Genomic DNA, 22883 nt, shown 5'->3' with positions numbered 1-22883 from the left:
ATCGTGCCAAAATATTTATATATATATATGTATATATATATATGAGACTAGTGTTGCTTCTCAACTTATGATAGAGCTACATTCTGATAAACCCATAGTAAGTTGAAAATATTGTAAGTCAAAATGCATTTAATACACTTAGCCTACTGAACTTCATAGTTTAGCCTAGCTTAACTTCAGCGTGCTCAGCCCACTTACACCAGCCTACTGCTGGGCAACATCATCTAACACAAAGCCTACTTTATAAGAGACTATTGAATATCTTGTGTAATTTATTGAATAATGTACTGAAAGTGAAAAAGAGAGTGGTTGTATGGCTACTCGAAGGACAGTTTGTAAAGTGTATCACTTACGATGGTGCGAAAGCTGGGGACCATCTGTATTAATACCTGCTTTGTGGAGTCATGCCTGACATACAGCAATATCATTATTTAATTATTACTGTTTAAATTTTAACAATTTTGTTAGCCCCTGAGGGATGAGTAGGATTGAAGTCAGCAGAGATCGGCTGGGAGGGCTTTGGGGAATGTCTCTGAGAACCTCACAGCTCAAGTGGGCATAGAGCAAAGAGCAAAAGGCCAGATGGGTCTGGAAGCCCCAGGACAAGGCGCTGATTGGGAAAGTGCTCTTGTTTAGGGTGGATATTGAGAGGGAGCAGATCGATTCTTTGGAAATTTCTGTGTGGTAGGTAAATCCACGATTAACTCTGAACCCCGAGATGACAACAGTCTTTTCTGAAAGCCACTGGCAAAACGGCCTCTTGCAGGGGAGGTGGAAAATGCTCCCTGAGAAAGAGCACGGAGGCCGGGGTGGCGGCTCGCGCCTGCAGCCCCGGCACTTTGGGAGACTGAAGCAGGAGGGTCGCTTGAGCCCCGAGGTTGAGGCTGCAGTGAGCTATGACGGGGCCACCACCCCGCAGCCTGGGCGACAGAGCAAGGGCCTGCCCCAAGAAAACAGTAATAACTAAAATAAATAAGCAAGCAAGCAGGCCCGAGTTCCGGTTTCAACGCACGTGCTTTCCTGTTCTTCCCTACACACTCTGCTTCCGTTTGTAATTTATGGCCCCCTTTTGTTGGAGAGAAACCCGTCCGTGTCCTCGATCACAAAGGGGTCAAAGCCCGGGTGTGCCCGCGCGGGCGGGTTGAGCTGGGGCCTCGCCGCGCCGTTTCCTGGCGCCCCCTGGTGGACAACGGCGGCGCCGCAGGCCTTCCGGGGAGGCCTCGCCCCACGTGGCCTCTCGGTGCTGCAGCTTTAGGCCCCAGTTTGCAGCTCGGGGCAAGGGCTGGAACTCTCAGTGAGACTGTGCCCAGGGCTCAGAGGCGGTTTCTGGACCAGTTACGTATTATTGCTGGAATAACACGCAAAAGAAACCCCACCCCGACGTGGATTAGAGACTGTTGATTTTTAAGGGCGAGATCACTGCTCTTGGCTGCAGTCAGGAGCCTGCATGCGGCCTGCCCCAGACAGAAGGCCTCAGGGGTCTGGGCTTTTACAGCTTTTGGCCTGAAGACCAGCTGCAGCTTCCAGCCCCAGTCATTCATTCCCTGAGGCTCCCTCAGGACTGCTGAGAAAAGGCAGGATCTAGGGGAAAAAGGGCTCTCCCTGCAGTGGGGGTGTTTAAGAGCAAAGATTCACTCCCCAAACTCCTCTCCCCCACCCAGAAGCCACTGTGCCTGAAGCCCCACCCTTAAAGAGCCTTACTTTTGCCTTTTTTGAAAAAGCTGTCTCATAAAAATTCAATGCGATCATCATTCATTGTGTACCTCATGTGGGCAAGGTGCTGAGCTAGGCTCCATGGAGACTCAGGCCTGTGGAAGATGGGGTCCGTGTGCTAAAGTGGGCAGCAGAAGGAGCCGTCTCAGGAGGACTCAACAACGCCCAAGGCCAGCACAGGCCAGGGAGCAGGCGACCTTCTTTCAAACAGGGCCTTGGTGGAGTGCATTTGGGGACAGGGTCTAGAAAGGAGGGGAGGCTCTCCCTGGGGGGAGCATGGTGAAGAAAGAAAGGCCTGTAGTCCTGGAGCAGAGCAGGAGCAGCTGGGAAGGGTGGGGTGTGTTCAGGGAACAGTGAGTAATCTGGTGTGGCCCTGCACGTCTGAGCATCACAGAGCCTGGCACAGGGCACAGGGTTCGCTCTTCAGGGGTGGGAGGAGGAGCTGGGGACCAGGCTAGAGAGGTGGGTGGGGGCCCCAGGAGAGAGGACTACGCTTGAGTAACAATGACCCTGGAGACCCAATGCAGGTGGGCTTGTGTGAGTGTTTCCCTTCCTGCAGGCGGCTCGAAGGCGAGAGCCAGCAGGAGCGAGGAGAGAGGCTGCCCAATGGGTACAGGAGGCATTTCAAACACCATGGAAGTTGTTAGGACCATAAATGGTGCCTACTTCAAAACTGGGGCTGGGACGGGCCCTGAGTCACAACACAGTATTTGAAATGCCTCTAGGCCCACACGTGGGAGTATAATCCTCTGTGGGATAGATTTCCCTCTCATCTCATATTTGTTTAATACTTCACAGCTTTCAAAGCACATTCACCCACATGATCCTATTGATCTTTCTAACAGCACTTTGTGCTAGACAGGGCAGATATTATTCCCACTTCAGAGGAGGACCAGCTAGGGTCTGGGTGAGATGAAGTCATAAATTCACTTTTGTTTTAACATGTTTATCTTAACCACTGGCCTTCTGGGGGTATGTCTTGGTCTGTTTTGTGTTGCTATAACAGAATAACTGAGACTGGGTGATTTATAAACAATAGAAGTGTATTTGGCTCATGGTTCTGGAGACTGGCAAGTCCAAGAACATTGCACTGGCATCTGGTGAGGGCCTTCATGCCACATCCTTCCCTGGTAGAAGGTGGCAGGGCCAGAGAGCTTGCAAGCCCAAGAGAGAGGAAGGGAGCCAAGCTCACCTTTTTTTTTTTTTTAATCCTGAGATAACCTGACCCACTGCCATGATAATGGCATAAATGAGGGCAGAGCCCTCGTGACCCAATTGCCTCTTAAAGTTCCCACTTCTCAACACTATTACAGCAGGGATTAAGTTTCCAACCCATAAACTTTAGGGGGCACATTCAGACCATAGCAGAGTGCATATTTGCTTTTGTTACAAATTTATTATTGTTATTATTATTATTTTTTTTGAGATGGAGTCTCGCTCTGTCACCCTGGCTGGAGTACAGTGGCACAATATCAGCTCACTGCAACCTCCCTCCACGCCTGGCCTATTTATTTATTTATTTTAGAGACAGAGTTTTGCTCTTGTTGCCCAGGCTGGAGTGCAGTGGCACCATCTCGGCTCACTGCAACCTCTGCCTTCCCAGGTTCAAGCGATTCTCCTGCCTCAGCTTCCCAAGTTGCTGGGATTATAAGCATGCACCACCACACCCTGCTAATTTTGTATTTTTAGTAGAGACGGGGTTTCATCATGTTGGCCAGGCTGGTCTCGAACTCTTGACCTCATGATCCGCCTCCCAAACTGCTGGGATTACAGGCATGAGCCACCTTGCCCGGCCAAATTTATTTTTTAAGATAGTTCATTCACATGTTTCAAAATTCAAAAGGTACAGATAAAATTCCTTCTCTCAACCCTATTCTTCCAGTCACCCAGGTCCCTTCTTACCAGTTTGAACCCAAGCCTTTTGCCTTTGGGTCTTTGGGTCTAGTGCCCCTTCTGAGGCAGCAGTGCAGGGGCTCAGGGACACAGCCCCACTGCAGATTCAGGAAAGCCTCAGACAAGTTTCACTCAGGTAGAGGTTATGCCTCCTCTTAGTAAGTGTGCATGTGTACCCTATGGGACTAGTCTTCTTTCATCTTAGGCTGCATATGTTTTTGTTTTTTATCTGTTTTTTTGTTTGTTTGTTTTTTGTTTTTCTGTTTTTTTTGTTTTAGATGGACTCTTGCTCTGTTGCCCAGGCTGGAGTGCAGTGGTGCAATCTTGTCCCACTGCAACCTCCGCCTCTGAGGTTCAAGCAATTCTCCTGTCTCAGCCTCCTAAATAGCTGGGATGGCAATAGGCATGCGGCACCACACCCAGCCAGACTGCACGTGTTTATCTTTCAATCTTAAACTCCTTGGAGTAGGGAGTATGTCTTCCACTTCTTGGGCACAGTAGAGTAAGGGTGAAAATTACAGGCTCTGGGCCTGGTGTGGTGGCTCACGCCTATAATCCCAGTACTTTGGGAGGCTGAGGCAGGTGAATCACCTGAGGTCATGAGTTCGAGATGAGCCTGGGCAACATGGTGAAACCCCGTCTCTACTAAAAATAAGAAAAATTAGCTGGGTGTGGTGGCGGGCGCCTGTAGTCCCAGCTACTCGGGAGGCTGAGGCAGGAGAATGGCGTGAACCCGGGAGGCGGAGCTTGCAGTGAGCTGAGATTGCGCCACTGCACTCCAGCCTAGGCGACAGAGCGAGACTCTGTCTCAAAAAAAAAAAAAAAAAAAATTAGCTGGGTGTGGTGGCACACACCTGTAATCCCAGCTACTCGGGAGGCTGAGGCAGGAGAATTGCTTGAACCCTGGAGTGGGAGGTTGCAGTGAGCTGAGATTGTGCCACTGCACTCCAGCCTGGGCAACAAAAGTGAAACTCCATCTCAAAAAAAAAAAAAAAAAAAAAAATTACAGGCTCTGGCACATAGAGGATTGGGATTAAAAACTCTGTGCTGTGTGATCTTGGGCAAGTTACTTAGTCTCTCTGAGCCTCCATTTTCTCAACTGTGATGATGATGCCCTCATCTACTTCGCAGAACTGTTGTGAGGACTACATAAGGTGACTCATGTCCTGTGTTTAACCCTGTGCCAGCCACAAGGTATGTCCTCTGTAAGTGGGAACCACCATCGTTCCAGTGTGCTGAGAGCCCACTGTGTGTGCACACAGTGTGACAGGCCCAGGCACCCTTCCCAAGTGAATTCTGACAAGAGGACTGATACCGAATTAAAAGCTCACCTAAGCCCCTTCCTTTGAACGAATCACTCTTCCCAGGCTGGGACCCACCCTTTCCCTTTGTGAGAAATCAGCTTTCCAAAAGCCTAGGTCGCCACTGTCCCCTTCTCAAGGGAGGCCTGGCTTTCCCGGGCAGTCGGTCATTTTGAGGCCACCAGCAGGGTGACAGGCCCCTGTTCCTCTGGGCCTGCTAGTGTGTAGCCCTGACTGTGCGCTGGCACACAGGAAGCTCCCACGTGGGTGTTCTCAGGGCTGGCAGGAACGACTCATGGGAAGGTCACCCATGCCCTGCAGCGGCCTCTCAGCGATGTCCTCAGCCCCCGGGATTCTCCGCTCAGAGCCGGCTTTCCCATCCCTAGATTACTCCGTGCTAGGAAGGACCCAAGGAAGCCTGTGTTCCAGTCCCTTCGACCTCGCAGATGATAAGAAAAGGCGTCCAGTGCTCCCGGCCCGGATTGCTCACTCATTAAAGCAGGGCTGGAATGTGGTCAAGGTGCCTTTGGTGATGCCCTCTGGGCTGCTACAACTCCCCTCACCATGCCTATACTTCCCTTGGGACACACACTGCCTGCCACAGGCCCCAGGGCCTAAACACACTGATCTGCGGGCTCCATGGCTTTTTGGTAGGGCAGTTACTTACCACTCTGGGGTTTACCCAACCTCCATGGCCCTCTGGGAGAACAGCCCTGTAATCTTGTTTCCAAGAAAGAGCAGAATGATCTGTTGGAGCTTATGGTCCCCACTGACCATAAAGTCGATAAACAATGAAAAACATGTTTACTTTTCTGTTAAAAAAGGCATTCCTTTCCTATCCAACCTAAGTCCTGTAAATAAACAAAAATATAGGCCAACAAGGATTAAGGGATAAAGGGCTGTCTGGCAGAACAATGAAGCAATCCTTGACTTCAAGGGATGGAATCGCACCAGCCTTAGGAGCTGGGACTTGGCAAGAGGCCTAGGTGACAGGGAAGTCTGAGCTGGAACGAGAGAGGAGGGCGCGGAAGAGGGAGGGTAATGACTGTGCCGGGCAGGCCCAGGAATGGGGCAAACCGCTGGGTCTGTGGTGTCCCCCACCCCCCTGCCTCATCCCATGCCAATCACCAAACCCACGTCTGCCAGGCAGGCCCAGGAATGGGGCAAACCGCTGGGTCTCTGGTGTCCCCCACCCCCCTGCCTCATCCCATGCCAATCATCAAACCCACGTCCTCTTGTTGCCCAGATGCCCAAGGGCGTCCAGATCAAACTCTGGATCTACTCCCACCTTCCCTGCACTGGCCGCGCTCCAGCTTCATGCCGCCCCAAACTCCCCGTCTGTCCAGGTGTCATTGGTTGGCCAGATTTTGATGGGCAGCCTTTCCCACAGGCAACCGCGCCTTGAACAGGGACTCTGGGAGCCCAAAGCTATGAGTCTTGGGTCAGTGTCCTGCCGCCCTTGAGTGGCAGGGGAGGGGCAAGTGGGGCGGGGCAGAATGAGACCTGAGGAAGATACCGAGAGCCAGCCTCATTGAGAGAGGGATCTCAGCCTGGGAAAATGGGAACCGCTTGGATTCTGTCCTTCCTTCTGTGAAGGAGCAAAGTGTCGTTCTGCTGTCCATGGCCTCTGCCCTCCAGAGATGGGATTTTCCTCCAGTTTTATAGATGTGGAAACTCAGCACCAAAGTTCCAAGCCCAGAGGCAGAGCTGGGCCCAGCAACCAGCAGTCCTAGCCCACCGGTCCCCTGCTCCTCGAGGATCAGCAGAAAAGGGGCGGGGAGTGGGCAGAGCCCTGTGCGCTTGTGGCGGGTGGAGGCCGCCAGCCCACCCGGACCAGCTCTGCAGGGAGGGCGCAGAGGCCAGGGCCAGGGCCAGGGGAGGGCGGCAAGCGAGAGCCAGCGGCGAAGAGTCCGGCGAAACGGGAATGACTCATGCTGGGTGGCTCTGCTCCCCAGTCCAGCCCACATTCCCGGGTCTCTGTTCCCGACCCGCCTGGGCCTGGCCTTAAAGGGCCAGCTCCTCTGAGCGGGAGCGGGGGCCACCCTGCTGCGCTCCCCACTCCTCTGTCACCCTGACCCCTGTGGAGTTGCTCCCAGTCCCTGGGCTGTGGGCGAAAAGGATGACCCCCTGCAGGATTTAGGACTTTATCTGATCCTCTCCTCCCGCTAGAAGGGAGGGCCCTCAGGTCATTCCATCCATCCCTCTGCCGCAGAGCAGGGCTGCACCTAAACTGGCCCACGAGGATTAGAAAAGCCCGGTCCCTGCTTTTAAAGATGCTGCAATGAGAGGACCCCTTTCCAGGCACCTTCGCCAGGGCCTCACTGCCGGCCCTTCTGCCCGCCGTCCCCTCGGCTGCAGGTTGTGCTGGAGGCCCCTCCCTTCTGGGTCCCCCCACCCCACGCTGGCTCCATTTCAGCTTCGGTTGATTCTCGAACTCTGGCTTGACGCACGCGTTTGGTGGGTTTTAGTTCGGCCCATCCAGACTTGCGGGCGAGGCTCCCGTCCTGGGCCTCGGAGGGGTCCAGGTTTCCCATTAATCCCGTCCTGCGCGTGGGTTCCTCGGGGTGGAAACGCCCCCCGGCAGCCGCGGCGCCCAAGTCACGTCTCTGGACCGCGCGCGCCACCGTGTGGACACTCTGGAGCAGGCGGGGACACCCTGATCCCGCCCAGCACCCGCAGTGAAAGGCAGGCCCGAGTCGGCCCCGCATTTAGCGAGGAAAGGATGAGGCGCACCCCCTAAGCACACTGCGAGCCTCACGTCCTCTGTGAAGCAATGGCTCTCAGATTAATGTAACAACAAAAGCCAACCAGCTCTGTTAAAACTTACAAATGGCAATACCTTCCATAGAGGTTGGGAAGACCTCCGTGCTGCCCGTGTACTCACCCCTGCCACCCCCTGCCACCCCTTCCCCCACTATTTGGTCAGTGCTCAACACATGCCACTAGAGGTTTGGGTTTAAGGTTTTGTCCACTGTTAACGATACATTTGGGGGGAAGGGGGTCTGTCTCCCTCTGAGCTAGACCAGGAAGGAGGAGAAAGGGCAAAGCTTGCTGCTACTGCACAAACTGGAGGATGGGGAAGAGACAGGAGGGGTGGCACAGCCATGGGGCAGGGAGGCCAGGGGGCACAGTTGAACCTGGGCAGAGACACTTTGAATTTGGGTGCAGGGGGTGAGACTCTCTTGCCTAATGAGTGCTCTTGGAGACCGAGGACAAACCTTCACCAAATGGGCTAAGACCACAGGTTGCAGCCTTGGGGCTGACGGCGACCATGGGCCTTTGTGAAGTGTTGGCCCTGGGATCCCTGGCCCTAACCAACCATGCCAGCTGGCCCTAGACAAGCCAGCCTTGCTTGAACTGGATTTCCAAAGGCCCTGAACGCCGTGTGTGGCCTCCCAAGTCCATGCAGGTCCTCATTTACCCTCCATCCCTACCTCCTCCAACCTCACTGGCTGCCCCCAGCACCAGCTGAAACCCCGGCCCCAGCAAAATCAAACACGAAGGAAGATGGGAGAGATAGTGAGCACTCCATTCCTTTCGTGCCTATGGCCTTTTTTCTTATTTCTGTGGGCCCTGGGCCCCAGCCTGATTTTGGTGGCTGTCAAAAGGAGTTTGCCAGGGCCTGTTGTGAGCAGCCTGTGGCCCAGTGCTTACCCGGGGGGCGGGGGGGGGGGGGTGTCCTCACAGCCCCAAGCACCGCCTGGCATGTACAGTCAATCTATTGAATGAATGCTACCCGCTGGTCTCCATTCTACTCTCCCAGAGAAAGTGTTTAAATTGCTCCACTGGCCAAAGTGCACACTCCTGATTACCCTCTGTGAGTCCTGCCCCGTCCAGAAGTTGAGGACACTCGGAATCTCAATAATGAACAACCCAGGTGCAGGGAACTGCCCCGTGTAGAAAGCTGATGGCCTGGAGTGTGGTCAGAGTGAAAGAGCCACTCCTATATGTTTGATCCTCCAATGACTGGTCCACAGAGTCAGAGAGGGGCAGCCTGCGGGGCACAGGCTGCCAGGGTGGATTCCATCAGAGCAGGTGCTGTTAGCACCCATGACCACCCTGTGCCTCTTGAATGTGTCTGTGTGTGTGCACCCTCCTGGCAAACAGAGCAAAGGGCCAGGAGCTTGGAAAGGAAGTGAGAAGAGCAGGGTGGAGACGTGGGGCTGAGTTTTGAAGGCAAACGTTAGGAGAAGGACTGGGGAAGAGAGGCTCCCTTCTGTTGGCCTAGGAGAGGATTGGTCCAATCTGTAGCCAGGCATGTGGATTAGAGCTGGATCTCCAAAGACGAGTGCCCAAGACCATATTTTAGGATAAGAAAATTAAACTTCTATTTATATTGAATTTTATGTAATCCTTTCAAATGTTTCTACTTTTGCATATTTTACTATATATATAATTAGTCCAATAAAAATATGTATAGTTGATAATGGAAGAATGTACATATATTGAGGATGCATGGCCAAAACAGTTTTTAATGCTGAGATTACACTATCAAGAAAGTCTGGAGACTACTGCATTTCAGAGTTTTGTTTTTGTTTTTGTTTTGAGACAAGAGTCTTACTCTGCCACCCAGGCTAGAGTGCAATGGTGCGATCTCTGCTCACTGCAACCTCTGCCTCCTGGTTCAAGTGATTCTCCTGCCTCAGCCTCCTGAGTAGCTGGGATTACAGGCGTGTGACACCATACCCAGCTGATTTTTTTGTATTTTTAGTAGAGACGGGATTTTGCCATGTTGGCCAGGCTAGTCTCAAACTCCTGACCTCAAATGATCCCCCTGCCTTGGCCTCTCAAAGTGCTGGAGTTACGGGCATGAGCCACTGCACCCAGCCTCATTTCGGGGTATCCTAAGGGCTCATAGAATCCAAAGGTTCTGATAGATAGGTAAATCAGTTAGCCTATGTGTAAATCAACTGTCCTCTGTGTAAATCCCTGAGGTACAGAGAAGTGAAGTGACTTGCTGGGGCTGCACGAAGTACAAGGAACATTCCAGACCCTCTGAGACCTGCCTATCCAATCATCCACGCATCCATCCATCCACCCACCAATCTCTCCATCCATCCATCCATCCCTTCATCCATGAAGCTTTATTTTATACTTCAAAACAAAATCAAATGTAAATTATGCTTCAATAAATCCTAGCCAAAAAAATTAAAAACAAATTACGAGTGTTTAACTGGTATGCATCACTGTGCATATATAGGCACGCATCCATCTATCCATCCATCTGTCCCCACGCAGCAGGTATCTGTCCTGTCGTGGTGATCTGCTGGGTCATCTTCCCTACCTCCAGGCCATAGCATCCTTCAATCCATCCGTCTCTCCCCACTCTGCAGGTATCTGTCCTGTCATGGTGATCTGCTGGGTCATCTTCCCTACCTCCAGGCCGTAGCATCCTTCAGAGTCCTCCATTCCTTCCTGTCTCACCTTGCTCCACTTCAGTTCCTTTTCACCCTGATCCTAAATCAATACTATAACTTTTAAATGACTCTCCCTGCTTCTAGCCCTTCCTGGCCCAGTCTGTTCCAAGCACCACTGCTAAATCAATCTTCCAAGTACTCTTGAGTGACTGCAGATTGCCCTTGGTCATGGCGCCCAGTCTGAAATTCTTGGCCCAACCCAGAGGCCCACAGCATATGCCCTGTATTGTGATTCTGTCTTTTGGAGTTAGTGGCTTCTGGAGAAGCTTTAGTAAATTATGCTTCAATAAATCCTAGCCAAAAGTAATAATTAAAATGATGTGAGTGTTTAACTAGTATGCATTACTGTGTGTATACACTCATGCATGCATGCATGTGTATGCTGAGAGCCTGTGTCTGACAGCGTGTGTGCCTGAGCAGGGCGGCAGCTCCAGTGCTCCTGAGGGTTGGAAATCCAGCCGATGATCAGCTGCTGAGCTGTGCACCCTGCCTTGGGGGCCACAGCATTATGCGAGAGGAGGTGCCTTTCTCTATTTCACCCAAGCCTCCAAGCTCTTTTTATTGTCTTCTCAGGTGCTTTCCTCTCAGAGGAAAAGAACACAGCCCAAAGCTGAGGCCTGGCCCAGGTAAAATAGTGAATAGGGTGAGGAAGGTGCATTTTACCAGCAGCAGAGAACCCTCCCGGCTTTCTCCAGCCAGATGTGTGAAGGTGTGAGGGAAGGGGTGACTCTCCAGGAAGTATCAACTGCAACAGAATGTCATTTCAGAGTGCAGAGGTCCTTATGGGTTTTCTCGTCCAACCCTTCATTTTATCAGGCCATGAAACTAAGGGTGTCATTTGCCCTGAGCTTCCCATCTGGATTGGAAAGAGCTTTAAAACCTCTCTCCTCTCTCCCACCTCTCAACTGCTTCCCTTCCAGAGCTCCCCTTGGTAAGTCTGTGCTTTCTCCCCTACAGCCTGGAAGCTCCGACCCCAGGAGCCAGCCCATCAACCTGAACCATTACGCCACCAAGAAGAGCGTGGCGGAGAGCATGCTGGACGTGGCCCTGTTCATGTCCAACGCCATGCGGCTGAAGGCGGTGCTGGAGCAGGGACCATCCTCTCACTACTACACCACCCTGGTCACCCTCATCAGCCTCTCTCTGCTCCTGCAGGTGGTCATCGGTGTCCTGCTCGTGGTCATTGGTGAGGAGCCCAGCCTGCAGTCAGACCTTCTGCCTCGGCACCCGTGGCTGGCAGAAAGGCCCCACGTGTCCCCTGGGCCACCCTGCATTGGCACAGGCAGCTTTGCAACCACACGCTGACCTGCAGTGAGCCCTCCGCTAACAGAGGCCCAAAGACCAACTTCCACCCCGCGAGGGCAGGCGCCCTGTCCTGTCTCCTGGTATCCCATGGAGCAGACCCTCCGCAGTACCTGCTGAATGACTGCGCCAGCACCTCGCTAACTGCTAACTCACTCACTCGCTCACCGCTTCTCCATGAGCACTCGTCCCCACGCTTACAGGACCCAGCTTAAGTTCCCAAATCCTGGTGGGATGAAGCACACTAGGGTGCCCCATTGTACTGGTTGGCGAGGGCAGAGGCATCTCAGCCCGATGACGACCACCTCCCTTGATTTCTGCCACATGGGTTTCTGAAGGGCCCCTCTCTCCAAACTCTGGTGGGTGTTGTGGGGGCAGCTCCGTGCTGTGGCCCCGTCTCTGACCCTTTCCCCCCACTCCACTTCCCTGCAGCACGGCTGAACCTGAATGAGGTAGAAAAGCAGTGGCGACTCAACCAGCTCAACAACGCAGCCACCATCTTGGTCTTCTTCACTGTGGTCATCAATGTTTTCATTACAGCCTTCGGGGCACATAAAACAGGGTTCCTGGCTGCCAGGGCCTCAAGGAATCCTCTCTGAATGCAGCCTGGGACCCAGGTGAGGGAGGATGGAGGAACCCCAGCTCCAGGGACTCCCCAGGTGGCCCTTCTCTCTCCTCTGGGGCTTTGGGGCAAGAAACAGATCCCTTGCCAAACAAAGGGGGAAGGCCTGTAGCTCCGAGAGCAAGGAGAGGATCTGCAAGAGCCTGGCCTCAGCGAGGCTTGCACAAAGCCCCACTGCTGTGTTAATGGCTCTCTGCTCTCAGGCTCAGGTTTTCCCACGGTCTGGGACAGGGTGGAGGCGATGCCATTAGTGGTTGACTCTGCCCCTCCGGCAAGAGGAAAGGTGGAGATGGGGAATTTCTCCCTGCCATTGTCTAGCAGCTCTTGCTACTGACTGTGGTCCATGGGTCAGCAGCATCCACAAACCACCCAGGAACTTGCTGGAAATGCAGAATCTCAGGCTCTGCTCGAGCACGTGCTACAGGCACGTGCATGAGTAACGTGGCCAGGTGCATCCTGGGCATGCTGAAGGTTGAGGGGCATTGATCTGGCCTGCCATCCTCATTGCCTCTTCTCTGCTTCCTCAACAGGTTCTGGGCCTGGAACTTCTGCCTCCTTCCTCCGTGATCTGCCAGGCTCGTGGGCACTTTCCACAGCCCAGGAGAGCTTCTGAAAGGACAGTATAGCTGCCCTTGCTCCCTACCCACAGCACCTGAGTTAAAAAGTGATTTTTATGTTATTGGTCTAAGGGACTTCCATCTTGGTCTGAAGTCCTGAGCTCAGACGCAGGTACTGCCAGCCATACCTTCCTGGTAGCATCTGCTGGACCTAAGTAAGGCATGTCTGTCTAAGGCCAAGTCTGCCCGGCTTAAGGATGCTGGTTCTGACTCTACCCCACTGCTTCCTTCTGCTCCAGGCCTCAATTTTCCCTTCTTGTAAAATGGAATCTATATCTATAAAGGTTTCTTCAAATCCACTCTTGAGTCCACTTACTTGTCTAGTCCTGCAGGCTCAGGCATCCAGGCTGGTCTCCATCTGTGCCTTGGAGAGGGCTCAAGAGAGCAAACCCCAGACCTGGAGGGTGGGAAGGCTTTTAAATTACTTCCTCCTCTGTGGGTTCTGCTCGGAGCCAATGTTCCTGGCCCAGATGTCTTGCGCTTATCGTCATCTGCCCCATGAACTGTAGATTAGTCCATTGCAGGTGGATGCACATATGCACAATCTTCTCCACGAACCTGCTGTAAGCTATTCTGGCTTTCAGTCTCAGCTTCCCTTAGGCATGTGTTTAAGGACTGCAAACTCATTTTGATCTTTGCCTGGGCCAAATATAACGAGGAAGGTAAATCTGTAAAGCATTAGCAAAGCATTGCCAACTCAGAAACAGAAATGATTTTTAGAAGGTCTGCCAGTTTAGAAGCAGCCACTCGTTGGCTTCTCTCCACTGCTCACCAAACCGTTCTGGCCCTATATCTAGCCTTCTCCACCCAGCGTATCCATAGCTTTCCTCGGCTAAAACCACCAACCTCCATTAATCTGCTGAACAGAAAATGCCTAGTCTATTACACGGTGAGCTGCTCAGACAGGAACAATGTTGTCTTCTTCCTGAGTAAACCGCAGTGCAGAGAAGGCCATCTCACACACAGCAGGCATCACACTTGTGGTAAGGGTGGAGGGTGGTGTGGGAGGGTCCTTGGCACGCCCACCTGGGCCCCTCAGCCCAATCCTTTACATCCGTGAAGAGCAACAGGAAAAGACAAGCACCTTTTTTTTTTTCTAAGAAGTTGCTGTATTTAATGCTTCCCCTCCCACCATCCCACACCCTCTCCTACCCAAGACATTTCTCTAGGGAGTAGGGGCCTTGCCCGGCCCTTCCTCTTAAGGCAGATGGTGTGGAGGTAACATCAAACGCAAGGCACTGGCCCAGGGCGCAGGGGTGTGGGCAGGGCAGGAGGCTGGGCTGGCTCCTAGTCATTGGAAGTGAAGCAGGTGGGCAGTTTGGGCTGGTTCCAGCCTTCCAGTGCAATGCCCGAGGACGAGAGTGGTCCCAGAAAGAAACTGGCAGCCCCACTGGCCAACTGCAGCCCTAGCCTATGCCCCACCATCCTTCTCCAGGGGCCAGTCGGCCTCAGCAGGGACCAGAAAAAGCCACAGCCCAGGGAGCAGGTATGGCCTTCCTAAGCCACAATCTCAAAAGTCTCTGTCCTTCATGATTCCTTAAAGGGAGGCAGGGATTCTCCCCGACCCCCCAGAAGGTTCTCCACGGGCTCCATTCTCCCATGTGCCAAACTCGTGCTCTCGGGGAATGCAGAGCCCACTAGGCAGACCCTGCAGCTCCAGTGCCGTGGTTTGGACCGTCACAGCCTGGAGCGCGGGCTCAGTGGCCTGGTCTTCTGGGCCCCGCCGCACCTCCCCCAGCCCTGTGCTCACCTCCCTAAACAGACTCTGGAGTTCAAGATCCAGTGTCCAATGCACCATGGGTGAATTCACAGCAGTGGTGGAGGCAGCAGCAGCAACAGAAAAACCCCCAGCCACAAAAGCACCGGGGTTATTAGTGCAAGAGAAGTACAAGGTCTCCAGGTGACAGAAAGGGTGGCATCGACTAAAAAGGCTAAGGGCTATTTTCCCTGAAACTGCCCCCCTCTTCAGTTCCTCCTGCCCCCACTCCTCTCCCTGCCTCCAGGGGATATCTCAGGGCAATGTCCTCACCTCCCCAAACCTCTCATCCCGCCCCCTTCTTATCCTGCTCCCTGTCCAGGGTTTTGCCCCCGTACACCCTTTCCTCTTCTTCCACTCAAGGCCGGGTGGCCAGGGCTCTCCCTGCAGAAGGGCAGGTCTGCAGTGGAGCTGGACTGTGAGGCTCACAGCTTCCACTTCCCTTTTCGTCCCTTTCTGTCCAGCCCCCACCCGCTTCTTGCCTAAGGAAATTGACAGATATGTCCACATCCTCTTTACCTCTTCTCCATGTCCTCTCGGGAGGCCTTACCCACAGGCACGCCGGTAAGGGAAAGGGCTTCTCTCCCCTGCCTTCATCACCCTGCCTGTTCTGCAGGCCTCAATGTCCAGTGCCAGGGAGTGGCAAGCCCCCTGCCCGCCAGCTCCCCACCTCCCAATGCCCAAGCACCAGAAACAGCCCGTTCTGTGCTTCTGGTCTGACGTGAGCCATCCGGAGGAAGTTAATGCCCTAATCAGTGGCCAGCTGTTTGGTGGCTACTGGGAGATGTGTGTCTCTGGAAGGCACGAGCCTGGGGTGGAGCAGAGACCTGCCCCACGTGGGACCAGTCCCGCGGCCAGGGACAACGCCCAAGGGACATAGGAGTGGGCGGGAGGCCTGCACGTGGGGACAGTCCCTCAGTGCACAACCTCACCCCCGCTCTGGACAGCAGTTTCGGTTTTCTGTTTTTAAAATCCCCGCCCCCCAATAAAATATGTCCACTAGAAGAGGGTCTGGTGGTCAGCGCTTGGCGTGAGGAGCGCTTGGGGGATGTGGGCGTGCACCTTCATGGATGAGGATGGTGTCGCTCAGTCAGATCTCTCCTTCCTGACCCGTCCTTCTCAGGAGCTCTTCCCGTTCTCGACTGAGCAAGTGGTCCCTCCTGGCCTCTCTCTCAAAGTCCTCCCTTCTGAAGGCCCAGGAGGCAGAGACAGGAGCCCCGGAACCTGCCTCTGTGAGGGGACAGCTCCAGGTGGAGTGGGCCGTCAGCTTCGAGGCCTCTTGGGGTCCAGCCGTCACCCCACTCCCCATCCCTGAACAGTAGCAGGGCCCTGGGGAGCCACTGCTAGTCCAGAGCGGGGAGTGCTGGGCCCCGCGGACACCCTCCGGCTACAGCGTCTTCATCTGGCGACGGCTCCACATGCCTCGCTTGGAATGGAAATGATGGAAGAAATTCCTGAGGGAGAGACGCTCCACGTCCAGGCCCGCTTGGAGTATCCTGGAGGAGGAGAAACACAGATGAGCCAACAGAAGCACAGAAGGCAGCTGGGGGGCCCCTCCCCATCGACCACAGACCCTCTGTTCGCTCCCCACGGGGCAGGGAAGGCAGGTGCAGTGGACGGCTGTGGGCTTTGAAGCCAGGCAGCCTGGGTTTGGATCCCAGCTGCATGACTGGGTATGTCACGCCTTCTTTCAGAGCCTGTCTGCTCATCTCTAGGAGGACGATTATCACATACGTGTAATGAGAGGATAATGTGTGATATAGAATTCTATCTATCTAATATTAGAGTAGACATACTATATACACATCAGAGGTGGGGAAGACGAGAAGGATGGATGCTGAGGGCTCAGCACGGCTCCTGGCACACTCTGAGTGCCCCATAACTGGCGCCCAGCCTCCAGGGCACACGTCATAGACGGAGGAAGGCAGGGCTGCTGCACTGAGACACCTGGCGCCTAGGCCCTCCCCAGGCCTTTTGTGCATGTGCAGCCTGCAGGGTGTCCCTCTCACAGGGAGGCTGCACTTCTGGCAGGGCTGAGAGTGGCCGAACTGGATGCCTGAGCCTCCGAGGAGGCAGGAGGTTCAGGGCTGTACAGGAGCCGTGCATGGCAGCAAAAGCCCAGCACAGAGATCAAGGTGGAGGTGACTGCTGGACCCGGCTTCCCAAATCAAGGCTTCCAGCTGCCCTGGGGGCTCCTTTGATCTCAGACCCTTTTTATGAGCTCCCAGTTATCTACGTTCCTTTACCTTCCCCCTTTTCACTCGAATTCTCTTAGTGTGTCACCTTCCTTTTCTTTCTTCCCTCAACGGGAAAAAACACCAATAGACCTAGTTTTCAAGCCTCTAACGCTTAAGTGAGTGAGATTTGGGGCAAGTTATTAACTTCTCTTCAAGACTCAGTCTTCTCATCTGGAAAATGGAGATCATGATGCCGACCTCACTGAGGTCTGGGGAGAAATAAACGAGGTAACGGATGTGGATGGCCGGCCATGTATAGGGACCCAGTGACTGGTGGATGCATTTTGTCCTGCCTCTCGGGAAGAAGTGAGCGTGTCTTCGTGTCGAGGTCCCGCCCCCAGTGCTCCTGACCTTGCCCTGTCCACCTCCTGTGGACGCTGTTACAGCGCTTATGCCCTTCTGAAGGGTACCCTCCCCTCTCCTTTGCTCCCTCACCATAGGCTCAGATCTCAAGGCACCATCCTCTCTCTGCCCCTTCTCTTGGCAGCACATTTCTTGAAAGAGGAACCTCACACGGAACAGCCTCCGCCTCCTCACCACCCATGGCCTGGTGTCCCTGCCCAATCTTGCTCTCCTTGTCCACCTGCCAAGGCAGCAGCTTGTACTGTGTTCTTCTCTGAGGCTTTTCATCTCATTGACCCTTTCCTCCTGCTCCAAACCCCCAGGTCCCTTGGTGTCTCATGACCCGGCACCTCCTGGATGTCCTCTTGCCCTTCAGTGGTCTACACTGTCTCTTCTGCTGGCCCCAAAGTCTTTCCTGACCTTTGCCAGGTCTACTTATCCATTCCCACAACTCTGGGCTCCCCGCTCGGCAGCTGACGGGAGGCGCACTACCCTCGGGCTGGGGAGGATGCAGTCTCTCCCACGGTGCCCTGCTTGGTGCTGAGAACATCATGGTTTATGTCTACACAGCTTGGTGTACCTGGTACACGGTGTACCAGGCATGTTAATTTTCACACCAACCCTGTGACACAGACAGAGGGCGAGTCACACCCCTCTAATAGAGAAACTGAGTCCCAGCGAGGCCGGTGATTTGAGGGCGTCCTCCGAGTCCAGTGCTCTTTACTGTGCTTTGGGACTCTGCGGCCGAGGGGGACAGCTAGGCTGCTGTAGCCTGGCTCCCTGCCTGGAGCGCCATGGAATTCCCAGGCCTCGTGGATGCCCTCCTCTTCCCAGTCACCTGTCCAGCAGCTCCCAGTCTTCCCCGCCCCAGCGGTCTCGGAACTCCTTGGTGTTCATGCCCCCAATCCTGTCCAGGTCAGACTTGTAGATGCCAAGCAGCCCGAACCCATTCACCTCCCAGTAGCCTGTGGACAGACAGGAGCTTCGGGTGAGATGAGCCAGAGGCCAGGAGGAGGAAGGAAGGAGGCTTCCAGGCTGTGTGCCTAGAGGCTCTTCTGAAAGTCAGAGGCTGGGGTTGAGGGAGGCTGAAAACTGTCTTAGCTGAACAAGTACTTTGCCTGTTTTGGAGGAAAGACCCCTAACTAAGGTTCAGGGCTCAGCAGTGCTACCAGGCTGTGCCCATGGGCTGATAACAACCCTACAAATGGATCGGACAGCGGCAGCCACAGAAGACACAGCTGTGTGTCAGTTTACATGTCCGTTTCCCTTTCCACAGGCAGGGAGGCTACCTTTCCCATCTTTGAATCCCCACAGGGCAGAGCATCTGGCACACAGCAGTGCTTAGTAAGTGTGTGATGAATGAATCAAGGAGAAGACGGCGCAGGAGGTGTGCACTGCTGCACCTGCTGCTGTGGCTGTCAGCTCAGCCCAAGGGGACCTTGTCTGGTGAGTTTTCCGGGGAGTGAAGGCCACAGGAGGGCAGGGTGGGGCAGGGGAGGAGGATGCTGACGCTCATAGATATGACTGTTCCCAGCTCTGGAGTTAAGAGCCAAGATCAGAGAAGTCTTTCCTCCCTCCCCAGTCTGAGCAGGGCTCACCCTCAGGCCACTGGGGGGTGGCCCCACAATGCAGCCTCATCACCATGGGGGCAAAGGCCATCTTTCCCTCCACACAGTGCTTCCGAATGGCATCGATGACTCCAGCTGGGAAGTGGATGTGGAGGTCACAGAGGAAGATGATGCTGTGCGGGTCCTGGGGACAGATGTGGGCAGGGTCAGCAGACCCTGCAGACCAGAGCTAGGAGGTCAGGTCGCCGTCTAGGAGAAGCCTCGGAGTCTTCCCTATTGGAGTGATTCACAAACTCCCACAAAACCAGCTGCTGGGCAGAGTTCCACAGTGCTGAACATTGGAGCACAGGTCTTAACCATCAGAGTGAATTCTGACTCCTCCCCACTCTTTATAGGCTCCAAGGACCCTGGACAACTGGGCAAATGCTCCACTGTGATTTGCTGGTCCCACCCTAGCACTGGCCTGCAGCACAGCAGAGAGGACCTCCTGTGTCCTCATTCCCGTCCTCCCTGAGGGGCTCACCACCTCATTTACCCCAAATGTCTCTCTACCTCTTAACCAGCCTTGAATTCCATCTCGCAGGCCCCATCCAGGCCCTTTACCTTCACGAGGTCTATGCCAGCCTGAAGTCCAGCTGAGCGTTCAAAGTTTCCACTTAGCTTCACGTACTGGTAGCTGCAGGAAGGGGAGAGAGGGCTGCGTATCAGGACTCAGCTGCGGTGGTCCCCTGGAGGAAGTTGGCAGGCATAGAAGAGAGATGATGTGTGCTCCTGGGATGGGATTATGGGCAGGTGAGCCCTCTGGGAAAAGTTGGAGACTAGGAATCAGGAAGGCTGGGCAGGACTCCTGGCTCTACCCTGGACCCAGCAGCCCTAGGACTTTAGGATGGACGTGGCCCATGCCACCCCCTGGCTGGTGGTCCCCCTCACCTCCGCAGCTTGGACCTCTTCAGTGCCATCTCAACATCCATGTCCTCACTGCTATAGTCAGTGATGACGATGTTGAAGTGTGGGTCACCGGTGACCTGGAACAGGTTTTCCATGTCTTTGATGAATTGCTGTACCCAGCGTGCCTGGTTCTTCACTACCCCAGGGGGTCAGGCAGGAGAAGGAAACACAGACAAGGCAAAGATGAGCGGATGAGCGCCTCCACCCCCAGCTCCCAGGTGAGTCAGGAGTGCCCATCGGACCTCGGCTGAGGGGACAGTGCAACTCTGCAAAACCATTAGCAGTGCAGCACAGAGACATGAGGCAGAGGGAGTGCTCACCAGTTAAGGGGGCCTCTGCATCCTGCTCCCCACGTTCCCTCCTCCCAGGCAGGGGACCCACGAGAAGGCCTTGGCTGGGGCTCATTGTCAGTAGCCCTGCCACGCTCTACTAGTGAAACCCTGTTATCTGTCCCTCTTAGTATCGTCGTCCTATCCCCATCATCCTACCTCTGTTGTTACACTTCTGCCTGTTGTGTGTTCCTCCTTCTCATATAAAACCCTGCTCATCACTTCATTAAGTACGCTGCCCGTCTTACTTCCCCAGACCAATGATCATCCCCAGTGTTAGCAACCCCAGTTATCACACCCAATCCTGAAACCTAGTACGAAAGAAAGAGCACTGGCCTATGAGGCAGTGTTTGTTTTTAGCGGCAACATTTACTAGCCACATAACCTTAAACCAGTGACTTTCCTTTTGTGAGCCTCAGTTTCCTCAACTATAAGGTGGTCTTTCTCAGAAGTGCTTATGGGATCAAATCAGTGCAAGCAGATGTGGGTGCTCCTGACAGTGTGAGGACCCCGCCCCTGAGAATGCCGAGGCTCAGCTTGAGGCTCACCAGGCACGACGAAGTGGACCACGGCTCGGTGACTCCAGGAGAAACCCTGAGGCCAGCACAGCTTGGGCTCTTGGGCCCGGGTATTCAGGACCTGTCTCCTACGGTTGTGTGGGTCCCAGACCAGGCCTTGCAGGTTCCGGGCCTCGACCTCCTCCCCACCAGCTGGATCGATGCCCTGCCAGCCTCGTGCAGACACATACTCCGAGAGCCGCACCACGCGCTGGCCTTGTTCCAACAGTTCAAGCTCCAGGAGGTAGCGACCCCCACGTAGCTGGTCCTGACGCTTTTCCACGTTCACAATGCGCTGTAGCTGGTACCTCCTATGGCAGAAAGTGTGGGGAGGCTGAGTGGTTCCTTTCCACACTGGGAGGGTAGCACGGTGTGTGAGAAGCCTGCAAAGCTAGTTGTTGGGAGACCCTGGTTTTTGTCCTAGCTTTGCCACTGGCTGGCTATAGGGCCTCAGGCAAGATTCGCAATCTCTCTAGGGTTCGCTGCCTCCCTCTTTGAAAATGTACCTGTTGAGCTGTGATGATCCTGAAGGTCTTTTACAGCTCCAAGATTCTAAGTACATGAGCTGAATAAGAGGGGTCACACTGAAGAGGTTCCCTGAGAAACTGACCCTCAATAAAAACGGTCGAATCAACATTCCATAAGACAAAATGAGTTATAAGACAGATGTCAATTGGTTGGCTCAAAATCATTAGTCACTAGAGAAATAAAAATCAAAACCACAGTGTGATACCATTTCACACTCACCAGGATGGCTATTTAAAACAAAACACAATGCCAGGTGCAGTGGCTCACACCTGTAATCCCAGCATTTTGGGAGGCCAAGGCAGGTGGATCACAAGGTCAGGAGATCAAGACCAGCCTGGCTAATATGGTGAAACCCTGTCTCTACTAAAAATATAAAAAATTAGCCAGGTGTGGTGGTGGGCACCTGTAGTTCCAGCTACTCAGGAGGCTGAGGCAGGAGAATGGCGTGAACCCGGGAGGCGGAGCTTGCATGAGTCGAGATCGCGCCACTGCACTCCAGCCTGGGCGACAGAGCGAGACTCCGTCTCAAAAAAAAAAATAAATAAAAATAAAAATAAATAAAACACAATGAAATGAAAAGTAACAAGTGTTGATAAGGATGTAGAAAAATTGGAATCTTCATACCCTGCTGATGGGAATGTGAAATGATGCAGTTGATTTAAAAAGCAGAGTGGCAGCTCCTCAACATGCTAAACAGAGTTACCATATGACCCAGAAGTTCTACTCCTAGATATATACCCAAGACAACTGAAAGTATGTTCACATAAAAGCTTGTGCATGAATGTTCATTGCAGCATTTTATTTGTAATAGTCAAAAAGTAGAAACAACCCACATGTCCTTCAACGGATGAATGGAAAAATGTGGTATATCCACACAATAGAATATTACTCAGCAATATCGAGGAATGAAGTGTTTAATAGATTCTACAACACGAATGAAACTTGTGCTAAGTGAATATTCTGCAAAAAGCCCGATATAAAGGCCACACATTACATGGTTCCATTTGCATAAGATGTCCGGAATAGGAAAATCCACAGAGCTAGAAAGGAAAGTAGTTATTGCCAGACACTACTGGGGGTAGGAGGAGGAATGGGAAGTAACCACTAACACATACGGTTTCTTTTTTTTTTTCTTTCTTTTTCTTTTTTTTTGAGACAGAGTCTCACTCTGTCGCCCAGGCTGGAGTGCAATGGTGCGACCTCTGCTCACTACAACCTCCACCTCCCGGGTTCAAGTGATTCTCCTGCTTCAGCCTCCCAAGTAGCTGGGGATACAGGTGCATGCCATCAAGCCCTGCTAATTTTTGTATTTTTATTAGAGATGGGGTTTCACTGTGTTGGTCAAGCTGGTCTCAAACTCCTGACCTCAAGTGATCCACCTACCCCGGTCTCCCAAAGTGTTGGGATTAGAGGCGTGAGCCACTGCGTCTGGCCAGTATAATTTGTTTCAAAGATGATGAAAACGTTCTGGAATTTGACAATGGTGATGCTTGCACAACACTGTAAATATACTTTTTTTTTTTTTTTTTTTTTTTTTTTTGAGACGGAGTCTTGCTCTGTCGCCCAGGCTGGAGTGCAGTGGCGCAATCTCAGCTCACTGCAAGCTCCGCCTCCCGGGTTCACGCCATTCTCCTGCCTCAGCCTCCCGAGTAGCTGGGACTACAGGCGCCCGCCACTATGCCTGGCTAATTTTTTGTATTTTTAGTAGAGACGGGGTTTCACCGTGTTAGCCAGGATGGTCTCGATCTCCTGA

General features: G+C 53.4%; 2 protein-coding genes across 6 annotated transcripts in view, besides 6 other annotated features; one reads left to right on the top strand and one right to left on the bottom strand.

The window, feature by feature from the left end:
• The window catches only part of NINJ2 (ninjurin 2), a 99150-nt gene extending 85986 nt beyond the window's left edge, over positions 1 to 13164 (top strand). For 4 of the 5 annotated variants that reach the window (NM_016533.6, NM_001294346.2, NM_001367996.1 and 1 more), the window contains 3 exons: positions 11282 to 11510; positions 12059 to 12243; positions 12779 to 13164. In NM_016533.6, the coding sequence (NP_057617.3) occupies positions 11282 to 11510; positions 12059 to 12225 (396 nt within the window). In that variant the 3' untranslated portion in view covers positions 12226 to 12243; positions 12779 to 13164. Of the gene's footprint in view, positions 1 to 11281; positions 11856 to 12058; positions 12244 to 12778 lie in introns of all 5 variants that reach the window. The other variant, NR_160428.1, reaches the window with a different exon arrangement.
• Positions 864 to 1365: an enhancer, noted in NCBI's record as "H3K4me1 hESC enhancer chr12:685261-685762 (GRCh37/hg19 assembly coordinates)". NCBI's record gives its function as "activates a minimal SCP1, AML or CMV promoter by ChIP-STARR-seq in naive H9 embryonic stem cells {active_cell/tissue: H9 hESC(naive)}" and the evidence as "EXISTENCE:reporter gene assay evidence [ECO:0000049][PMID:30033119]".
• Positions 1066 to 1335: a silencer, noted in NCBI's record as "silent region_4101". NCBI's record gives its function as "represses an Ori minimal core promoter by ATAC-STARR-seq in GM12878 lymphoblastoid cells {active_cell/tissue: GM12878}" and the evidence as "EXISTENCE:reporter gene assay evidence [ECO:0000049][PMID:35858748]".
• Positions 4699 to 5327: an enhancer, noted in NCBI's record as "H3K4me1 hESC enhancer chr12:681299-681927 (GRCh37/hg19 assembly coordinates)". NCBI's record gives its function as "activates a minimal SCP1, AML or CMV promoter by ChIP-STARR-seq in primed H9 embryonic stem cells {active_cell/tissue: H9 hESC(primed)}" and the evidence as "EXISTENCE:reporter gene assay evidence [ECO:0000049][PMID:30033119]".
• Positions 11044 to 11543: an enhancer, noted in NCBI's record as "H3K4me1 hESC enhancer chr12:675083-675582 (GRCh37/hg19 assembly coordinates)". NCBI's record gives its function as "activates a minimal SCP1, AML or CMV promoter by ChIP-STARR-seq in naive H9 embryonic stem cells {active_cell/tissue: H9 hESC(naive)}" and the evidence as "EXISTENCE:reporter gene assay evidence [ECO:0000049][PMID:30033119]".
• Positions 11544 to 12045: an enhancer, noted in NCBI's record as "H3K4me1 hESC enhancer chr12:674581-675082 (GRCh37/hg19 assembly coordinates)". NCBI's record gives its function as "activates a minimal SCP1, AML or CMV promoter by ChIP-STARR-seq in naive H9 embryonic stem cells {active_cell/tissue: H9 hESC(naive)}" and the evidence as "EXISTENCE:reporter gene assay evidence [ECO:0000049][PMID:30033119]".
• Positions 13165 to 13950: 786 nt separating the features above from the next.
• The window catches only part of B4GALNT3 (beta-1,4-N-acetyl-galactosaminyltransferase 3), a 103571-nt gene continuing 94638 nt past the window's right edge, over positions 13951 to 22883 (bottom strand). Inside the window, exons 15-20 of the mRNA NM_173593.4 lie at positions 20594 to 20913; positions 19699 to 19852; positions 19372 to 19444; positions 18799 to 18952; positions 18039 to 18165; positions 13951 to 16117 (exon numbers count right to left, since the gene is read on the bottom strand). Coding sequence (NP_775864.3) covers positions 16009 to 16117; positions 18039 to 18165; positions 18799 to 18952; positions 19372 to 19444; positions 19699 to 19852; positions 20594 to 20913 — 937 coding nt within the window. The 3' untranslated portion in view covers positions 13951 to 16008. The remainder of the gene's footprint in view (positions 16118 to 18038; positions 18166 to 18798; positions 18953 to 19371; positions 19445 to 19698; positions 19853 to 20593; positions 20914 to 22883) is intronic.
• Positions 14210 to 14711: an enhancer, noted in NCBI's record as "H3K4me1 hESC enhancer chr12:671915-672416 (GRCh37/hg19 assembly coordinates)". NCBI's record gives its function as "activates a minimal SCP1, AML or CMV promoter by ChIP-STARR-seq in primed H9 embryonic stem cells {active_cell/tissue: H9 hESC(primed)}" and the evidence as "EXISTENCE:reporter gene assay evidence [ECO:0000049][PMID:30033119]".

Source organism: Homo sapiens, chromosome 12 (assembly GCF_000001405.40).
Source record: "Homo sapiens chromosome 12, GRCh38.p14 Primary Assembly".
In the NCBI taxonomy this organism is placed as follows: domain Eukaryota; kingdom Metazoa; phylum Chordata; class Mammalia; order Primates; family Hominidae; genus Homo; species Homo sapiens.
This window is presented reverse-complemented; position numbering and strand designations above follow the sequence as displayed.